This window comes from Homo sapiens, chromosome 4 (assembly GCF_000001405.40).
Source record: "Homo sapiens chromosome 4, GRCh38.p14 Primary Assembly".
Taxonomy (NCBI): Eukaryota; Metazoa; Chordata; class Mammalia; order Primates; family Hominidae; genus Homo; species Homo sapiens.
Window position 1 is genome coordinate 77422678 of NC_000004.12, and position 9762 is coordinate 77432439.

The 9762-nt window shown below is 42.9% G+C and overlaps 1 pseudogene; it reads right to left on the reverse strand.

Moving 5' to 3' along the window:
• Positions 1-1997: 1997 nt before the first annotated feature.
• On the reverse strand, positions 1998-3175 carry LOC124900720 (putative uncharacterized protein MSANTD5; annotated as a pseudogene).
• Positions 3176-9762: the final 6587 nt, after the last annotated feature.

The window sequence follows — 9762 nt, forward strand, 5'->3', positions numbered from 1 at the left end:
ATTCTTGTGATCATTACACCTACATTTTCTGTAACCAGTGTTTTTCTGGTTTTTATAACCACTGGTTATAACCAGCGTCTTCCTCCAAACTAATGAATTTACTTCCATCTTCACTACATAATCCTCTGTCACCCTGACCCAACACATAACGCCATTTTATTTTCATGAATTTTGGTTCTAGGTTGATAATGGACACACTACTGAATGTTTATTCTTGTTTATCTTGTAAAAATGTTACAAGCATGAAGATGCAAGACAAATGGGACAGAATGGAGCTGCCCAGCTCTTGTCCTGGTAGAAGGTGACCAGCTTCTACGTTCTTAAGGAATATACTTACCCCAGAAAGAGGGTGAACGATAGCACAACTGGCAGCAAGAACATGGTTGGGAGTTCGGAGGTAGCTCTGGGTCAAGTGAAGCATGGCAGGCAACTGTACTATAGGTCTCTCCAGTGAGCTCACTAATGGGGCTCCTAGGATAGGCAGTAGCAATGGCTAACTAGAGAAGCAGAAATATTTTATTGCAACTGCGATCTGGCTGAGCAACCTAAAGTCGTCTCTTTGCCTCTAGGGCCTTCTGTTGACTATGCTAGCACTAGACCCAGAGTGGGGAGGAGAGAACATGCTTAACTTCACCCCCCACCCCAGGCAAGTTCTTATGGCTAAACTCCTTCCCACATGTTTACTTCAAACATGACCTGAGGGCTCCAGTTTCAAATCGAATTGCATAGTCAGGTCACTTTCAGTTATTAATATTACAAAGTTATAGAATCATCTAGGGAAAGATTTGACCAAATGATTGAGGTTAGGGAATAGAGAAGAGTAGCAACCTTGTATTTTTTACTCTAAAGTTCAGAACAGTTCAGTAAAGTGGTTATGAATCACTTATTTTTTTCTTTACTAACCTCAGCAATCGCTGTCAACTTTCTCCAATTGCCATGTCCCTTGCTCGACTTCCATGCCCATTCTCCCCCACTTGACTCCTGACATCTACTTTTCGTTATCTCAGGATATCTTGTGTTGAAGGCCAAGTTTTCCCGTGTACTCAACACCAACACCTACCACTTGACTCTACCAGTTATGCCTCCTTAGGTTTTCAAGCTGTTCCCCTTGCTTCTCCTGCCTCTTTGTCAGCCCATAATTAAGTCGGTGTTTTAGTCCATTTGTGCTTTTATAATAATACTACATATAGACTGGGTAACTTAAAAACAAATTTATTTTCTCACAGTTGTTGAGGGTGTGAAGTTCAAGATCAAGGTGCTGACTAGTGAGGGATCTGCTCTCTGTTTCCAAAATGGCTCCTTGTTGCTGATCTTCTGGAGGGAGGAATGCTCTGTCCTCCCATGGTGGAAGGGCAAAAAGCCTAATGCTCCAAGGAAGCCCCTTTATAACAGCCTTAACTCCATTCATGAGGCAGGAGCTCTCATGGCTTATTCATCTCTCAAATGCCCTACCATTTGAGAGATGAATCATTTACCATTGGTAAACGATTACACTGGCCATTAAGTTTCAGCATGTGAATTTCGGAGGGAACATACTCAAACTGTAGTATTCTACCCCTGGTCCCCAAAAGTTATGTCCCCTCCCTACATACAAAATACATTCATTTATCTCAATGGCCCCCAAAGTCTTAACTCTTGCTAGTATCATCTGTAAAGTCTAGAATTTCATCTAGATATCACGTAAATCAGATATGATAAGACTCAAAGGTGTGTTTCATCCTGAGAAAAATTCCAGCTATAAATCTGTGAAACAAAGTTATTACATGCTTCTAAAACACAATGGGAAATATCCAGGACAGATATTTCTATTCTAAAAGGGAGAAATAGGTAAGAAAGGGTTTTTAACAGGTCCCAAGTAAGTCTAAAACTCAACAAGTAAGAACGGAACATCAACAGGACATAAAATCTTTTTTTTTTTGAGGTCACAGTCATTCATTTATTTCACATTTATTCTCATCACACTGGGTGAGGAGAGGAAGGAGTCATGTACCAACACACACAGATTGTGCTATTTTTCATCTTTCTGATAGAGTCAGGATCCAGATTCTAATTGTATTCAAGATCTGGATTAGTCAGCAGAGATGGACCACTGTGGTGGGGGGCCCAGGGCTGCTGAAAGGCAGGATACACATATGGAACTGACCATGGCGGGTTCATGTTCCAGGGCTCCCATCTGGATACCTGAGGATTTTCCACATAGATCACAGGTATTGGGGTCCACTTTGGCTCCTGAAAGGCTATAGGAATGCCACAGGCCTTAGGCTGGTGCTGGGGAGGTGTGAGGTCAGCCACATCTGCACAGGGAGGACCAGAGAAGATGCTGATCTTCCATCTGTATCCCAGAATCCTGTGCAGAGCCTCTGAAGGAGATCAGTCAGGGTGGTGGGAAAAGTTGTAAGTTATAGGGAAAGACACAAACCTTCTTGACAGGTCAGGAGGTTTTGCAAAGCTTTGGGAGAGAATAAAAGCTGAAGGCAGCTAATTCTCTTACTCTGAGGCAGAGGGCAAGAAGTAGGTGCAAGGGAATGTAGGGAAGTTTATCTAGATAAGTTTATTCATGTTGTCGGGAAACCAACCTTTGGTCATCCATGCGCAAGACTGCTCCCTGCAAGGGGGGAACGACAATGTTAATTATCCACAGGTTGTGTTGGCTCCAGGCCTTTGTCATTAAATCTGTACTGAATAAATACAAGCTTCTCCAGCTTATCCACACTGCTAACTCTTTGGCCCCTAGTGCCGGCAGTCCCCTAGCCCACTCTTTCACTGGATACTTGTGTCTGAGTACTCCTTTCAGCTGTTGCTCGGCCAGAGTCCGCAGGATGGGCCCGGCAGCCCTCTCCATGAGGACATGGCAAGGGTTGGCACCTTGGCCTCTGGTTGGCCTCATGAATAGTGAAGTATAAGTCCTGCAAGCTTATCAGCATCTGGAGACATTCCTGCTAGCTCTTCTTCATACCCCTCTGCTTGAGACGCCGGGTAATTGTTTTTGATACTATGTGATACCCTGTATACTTCATGCTCAAGAAATTCCCATTCTTGCAGGAAACTCTGGATTTCCTGGTCATTCCATGGTTTAATTAACTGAACTGAGGGCTTTTCTGGTCCCTGGGCTGCTTTCTTCTCCTTCATTCTGGATGTTTCTGGTAGTTTCAGTCTGAAGTGTCACTTTCTCCATTTTTATTCCTGAGTTTTCTCCTGGGATTCTTCTCACTGCACCTGCAGGGCCTGTTCCTGGGTTGGCAGAACACTGGCACTTATTCTGCTCTGATGGAACCTAGGAGAGTCGGGAAGAACCCAAGTGTGGAAATGTGTGTGCTTCTCTCTGCTTCTGGAGGTCTTTCAGGACATAAAATCCTAAACGTTTTTTATGGAATACCTTAATAACCCTTGTTGACTTTGCCATAGTCTTTTTCTTTCTCTGACTCTTATGTCATGACTTCCAGACACACTGGATATGGAGTGGGGACGATGGCCCCATGGCTTTTCTGGGTTCAGCCCATGCAGCAGCTCCCTGGTTAAAGTCAAGTGCCTGCAGGTCTCCCAGGCTGTAGTTGCATACAGAGTGTGCAGTTCTGGGGTCTCTGGGACTGCCTCACCCCCGTGACTCCAGTAGGCACTCTCCTAGTTAGGGTGTTCTGTAATAACCTTGGAGATCCTTAAAGGTGGGACCACTGCCAAGAGTCCCCATGGCTCCACTAAGCATTGTTCTCATGAGGACACTTGGTGGTGGTCCCACCTTCGAGGTTTTTTTGAGGCATCCTTGGAAATCCAGGTGGAGGTAGCTATGCCTCCACAGCTCCTACACTCCATATAGAGTTAGCACCACATGGATACTGCCAAATTTCACTGCTTGTGCTACAGCTGAAATGGTCAAGGAGCACTGCCCTGGAATACAGGGGGCAGACTTGACACAGCCCTGGACAACGAGCTCTGAGGTCTCACAGGTCCTCTGGGTACCTCTCTTAACCATTCTGCCCTCAAGGCCCTGGTACCCTGGGAGCCTGTGATGGGCATGGCAGCACAAATCTCCAAAATGCCTTCGGGGTCATTCTCCCATTATCTTGATGAACAGCACGTAGTTTTTATCCATACTAATCTCCTTATCAAACAATTGCTTGGCCCCACCCTTTTTTTCTCTCCTAACCAGTCTCTAAATATTTCACATGGCCAGGATGAAACTTTCCTAATCTTTATTTTCTGCTTTCTTTTAAATCATGAATTCCATCTTTCTAGATTTCTCCATAAGCAGGTAAGAGAAGCCATGCAGCACCTTCAAGACTTTACTGCTTAGAGTTCTTCCATCAAATACTTTAGTTTATTGCTCTAATTTCTGCCTTCCACAAAGTCTTGGGGCATGGACAAAATTCAGCCAACTTCCTGGCTACATGATATAACAAGGATGAGCTTTCCTCCAGTTTCCAGTACTTTCTCATTTGAGACATCAAAATAGTAATCACTATCCATATTTCTACCAACATTCCATTCATAACCACTTAGATCACCTCTGAGATGAAAGCTGTCTTCTTTCCTGTGAGCTGCCACCAGAATCTCCCCTTACTTCTCTGTTCATGGCAATGCAGGCCTTTTCCAGCACTCAAGCTGTTTCAGCTGCTACCCATTACCCAGTTCCAAAGCTGTGTCTGTATTTTTAAGTGTTTGTTATAACATGCTACTTGTCTGGTATCAATTTTGGACTATTCAGAATGCTATAACAATATCACAGACTGAGTAATTTATGAAGAACATAGGTAACCTATAAAGAACAAACAGTGGTTTATGCCTGTAATCTTAGTAGTTTGGGAGGCTGAGGTGGGAGAATTGCTTAAAATTGGGAGTTCAAGACCAGCCTGGGCAACAAAGACCCCAGCGCTACAAAAAAAAGAAATATCCAGGTGCAGTGGTATGTGCTACTTGGGAGGCTGAAGCTGGAGGATCGCTAGAGCCCAGGAGGTAAAGGCCATGTACCATGATCACCCCACTACATTTTAGCCTGGGCAAAAACAAGATGCCATCTCAATTTTTTTCCTTAGTTCTGGAGGCTGGGAAGTCAAAGATAGAGGCACCAGCAGATTTGGTGTCTAGGGAGGAGGAAGGCAGTGTCTCTCCTTCCAACGTGGCACCTTTTTGCTACATCTTCTGAAGGGGAGGAATGTTGTAGCCTCACATGGCAGAAGGTAGAGGGGAAAGGAGGTACTAGATGCTAAGTAAAGCCTCCTTTAGAGGTGCCTTTATTCCATTCGTGAAGGAGAAGCCTTTGTGATCTAGTCACTTCTTAAAGTCCCCACCCCTTAGTATCACATTGGTCATGAAGTTTCAACATGTGAACTTTGGAGGAGACATACTCAAGCCATAGTAGCCTGTCTCCCATCTTAGAAGCACCACCCTTGATCTCATGCTGCCCTCTAGCCACTGCCCTTTTCCTCTTCTCTGACTCAAACCCTAAAGTGGTTTCTCTACTTCTCTACTTTTCTACTTCTCATCCTCTACTACCCGGCTCCACACCAAACTATGGACCTTCAATATGTGCAATGATAAATGGATGCATTTCATTCAGTAGTATTCTATAGTATTGGAAAAAGTGATTACCCTGACTTGTATGATGGTATTTGATGTATTAGTGTGTCTAGGCTGTAGTTTCCAGTCAATTTGTGTTGCTGTAAAAGTAATTTGTAGATGTGATTAAAGCCTATAATCAGTTGACTTTAAGTTAGGGAGATTATCCTGTACAATATGCTGGGCCTGGGTCAACTAGATGGAAGGCCTTAAGAGCTGAGCAGAGGCTTCCCTACTGAAGAGATTCTGGCTGATGACAGCAGGTTAATCTGCAAATGAGTTCAAGCCTGCGCTTCCTGAAAGCCTGCCCTACAGACTTCAAACTTGTCTAACCAGCCCCCAGAATTGCAATGTAGCACCATTTGATAACCTATAGATAAAGTTATTTATCTGCTACCTTAGAACCTTTTAAACAAAATAAGTGCAGTGGGATTGGCTGAATGCTTATAACAGCCTTGGAGAAAGTTGGGAAAGAAAAGGCTGAGCTTAAGCCTTCAAATTCTAAGCTTAATCTCTGTATAAATAACCTGAACTTTCATATCTGTCCTGAAATGACCCTTTATCTGCTATAGCTGCAGGGTCAAGATTTCCAAAAGTCAAACCCAGAGTATCACATCCAGTGAGTGATTGAATTCCGATGTGAATTGGATTCCCAGCCTCATCAGATGACTTCTGTTTAAGTGAGAGCATTGATTGAAAAGAAATAGGATTCTGAATAGAGAAATTTGGGCAGATTCCAATGAAGCTGGGGACATCAGATTCCTAAATTCTGTGGATTTTCCTTGGCTGGTAAAAACAGCACTTCTACCCCTGCCCAGGGTGGTTAGCTCTCCATTGTCTGAGGTTGTTGCTTTGCAAGGCACCACTGATTCTCCTTAGGGTATATTCCTGGCATCTGTTTCCAGACTTAGACTCATGTTCCAAAAGCTCCTAAAGGGTGAAGTACAAAGTATGACCCATGAGGAGATGCACAATCTCAAAATAGCTGCATGACTTTTCCTTATTTTTATACAGAAATACAGGGAATATGTAGGAATGAATCTTCAGAGAGGGGTCATGATGAAAAGAATATAAAGTTGGATCAAGCTAAATTTATTCATGTGTCCATTAAGCACAGATTCTAGGTTTATTTTAGCTTTAGGGGTTATAAAGTGTTCTGTCTGTTTAAAATGTGGACCCAAAGGTGGCCTACACTAAATGAAGTTGAAATGCTAGACATGTGTGGGCCTCCTCTAGAGGAAGGGTATCAGAAGGCTTAGGGAGGTAGGAATCCTGTAATGGATTTGTCACATAAGACCCTTTTACCTACCCCAGGAGGGTCTAGAGGACCTGCTTTTTATTACTTTGAGAAATTTGAGTGTCCCAGCACCCTTCTAAGAGCTTGGTTGTCATTCTCTGTAGGTCAGAAATTACACTGGGAACTGCTACCATGAAACTGCCACCCTTAAATACAATAGGGATAATGGAATCTTAGGGTAGGAGAAGCTAGGTGGTAGTACTTAAACACCAGAGACAGGCAGGAATAATTAGTGTAAAACCAAAGCAGTAATCAGAATAGACTGACTCGGAGACCCATGCTATTCACTGATTGAACACGATATCCCTAGAAAAGTAATAGAAAAGTAAATTCTTGAACAGCATAAGTAAGAGTTCTAGTAAATGGTCTAACTTGAATCAGCAAAAGTCACAGCCCCTCAATCAATTCCCAAACATCAACTAGTTCAGACCAAGAATCGTTTGAAGGGGAGACTTGGTCTCTTTGAGGAATGATATTGCTGTATGACTAAAAGTTCATACTGTTAATATTTTTTCCAGCCTTCCCCAAAAGGGCTTATCAGTGTGACGATGCACTAGGGAAAGGAAGATAATCAGGCTTCTCAGGGATAACTAGACACTATGAACTGACAGTAACTCCTGTAAACCCAAAATATCACTGCAGTACAGAAGGGAGAGGCTTATGAAGGTCAGGTCATAGAATTTTAGCTAAGGGTCAATTCACAGTGTGGGTCAAGTGGGTCCCCAAACTCATCCTGTGGTTATTCCCCCAGTCTGGAATGTATATTTATAACAGACATACCCAGCAACTAATAGAATCCCCTTGTGTGTTCCCTGACCTGTAGAATGAAGACTTTTTGGTAGCAAAGGCTAAGTGGAAGTCATTAGTACTACCTCTACCTACAAAAACAGTGAACCAAAAGCAGTACCATATTCTAGAGAACAGTGCCAATATCAAGGACTTGAAAGTTGCAGGGATACTGCTTCTTGCCACATTCTTAACTTGCCTATTTGGCTTATGCAGAAGACAGATTCTGGAGAATGACAGTTCAGGATTGTCAAACTTAGTCAAGTGGTGACTCTAGTTACTGTTGAAGATGTGATTTGTTATTCGAGAAAATTAATACAACCTTTTGGTACCTGGTATGCAGCTATTGATTTGGCAAATACATTTTCTATACCTGTTAGTAAAAACCATCAAAAGCAATTTGCTTTCAGCTAGCATGACAATATGTTTTCACGATTCTACCTTAGGGTATCAACTCTATCCCTATGTCATAGTCCACAGATCTTGATTACATTTCCTTTCCATAATATATGCTGGTTAATCATATTAATGATATGCTGATTGGGCCTTGTGATCAGGAAGTAGTAACTAATCTAGACATAGGATTAAGACATTTGCATGACACTAGAAAATAAATGCCACCGAAAATCAAAGGGCATTCACTTAAGTGAAATTTCCAAAGGCCCAGTGGTATGGGGCACCTTAGGTACATCTAAGGCAAAAGTTTATTGCAAATGGCTCCTCCTACTGCCCAAAGAGGCACAATGCCTAATTGGCCTTCTCGGATCTTCGCAGAAACATATCTTACTGAGGTATGCTACTCCAGCTCACTTACCAAGTTACTCAAAGCTATAAGCTTTGAATAGGTCCCAGAACAAGAGAAGGCTCTGCTACCATTCAAGGTGCTTTGCCACTGGCCATATGGCTTAGCAGATCCTGTGGCGATGAAAGTATCAGTGGCAGATAGGGATGCTGTTTGAAGCCTTGAGGAGACCTCCCATAGATAAATCACTGAGTCAGGATTTTAAGCAAGCCCTGCTATTGCCTGTGGATAACTTATTTTTAGAAACAACTTTTCGCTTGCTACAGGACCTTGTAGAGACTGAATGCTTAATCGTGTGTCACCAAGTTGTTGTGTGACCTGAGATGCCCATGAGGAACTGGGTAGTGTATGCCCCACAGTTACAAAGTTGGATATACACAGCAGCACTTCATTAATAAATGGGAGCAGTATATTTGAGATTGTGTCTTCAAGGTCTGCACAAGCCCAATTTGCATGAGGAATTGATCCAAATGTTCAGAGCTTCTGTTCCCATCCTACATTACCTTCTCCCAGCTCATAACTATGGGCTCATGAAGATTTTTATATGAGCAGTTGACTGTAGAAGAGAGAACTCCGGCTCAGTTTACAAATGACTCTCCATGATATACAGGCATCACAAGTAGACAGCTGCAGCACTACAGCCTATTTCTGGGACATCCTTAAAGAATGCTGATGAAGGAAAATCCTTTCTGCAGCCAGAACTTTGAACAGTAAACCTGATTGTTCATTTTGCCTGGAAGGGGAAAGGGCCTGAGGTAAGAATCTGTAATAGTTCCTAAGCTGTGGCCAATGTTTTGGCTGAATGGTCAGGGGTGTAGAAGGAATACAAGTGTAGAAGGAATAAAATTAGAAAACTGGATACAATAAGGTATCAGGGAGAGGTATGTGGACTGGCCTGAAAGGTGGAAATGGCCTTTTGAAAACTAAATTACGGCGTCAGCTATTGGCAATACCTTGCAGGGCTCAAGCTAAGGCTTCTAGGATTCTATGTAGTCTTTAAATCACTGTCCAATATAACTGTTTCTCCCATAACCAGGTTTCAAGGGTGTAAGAATTAAGGGGTGAAAATACAAATAACTTTACTATTATCCCCTAGTGATCTACTAAATTGTTTTATTCCCAAGGAGTTTGGAACTAAGACCCCTAGACAGCAGAGCCTAAGGGAGGAATGACTCTACCAGGAGACAAAATAATGACTCTGTTAAAGTTGAGATGGCCGGCTGCCTCATACCTCTGATTCAAAAGTAAAGGAGTTGCTGTACTGGTTAGGGCGATTGTTCCTGACAACCAAGGGGAAACTGGACTGCTACACAAGGAGGTAAGG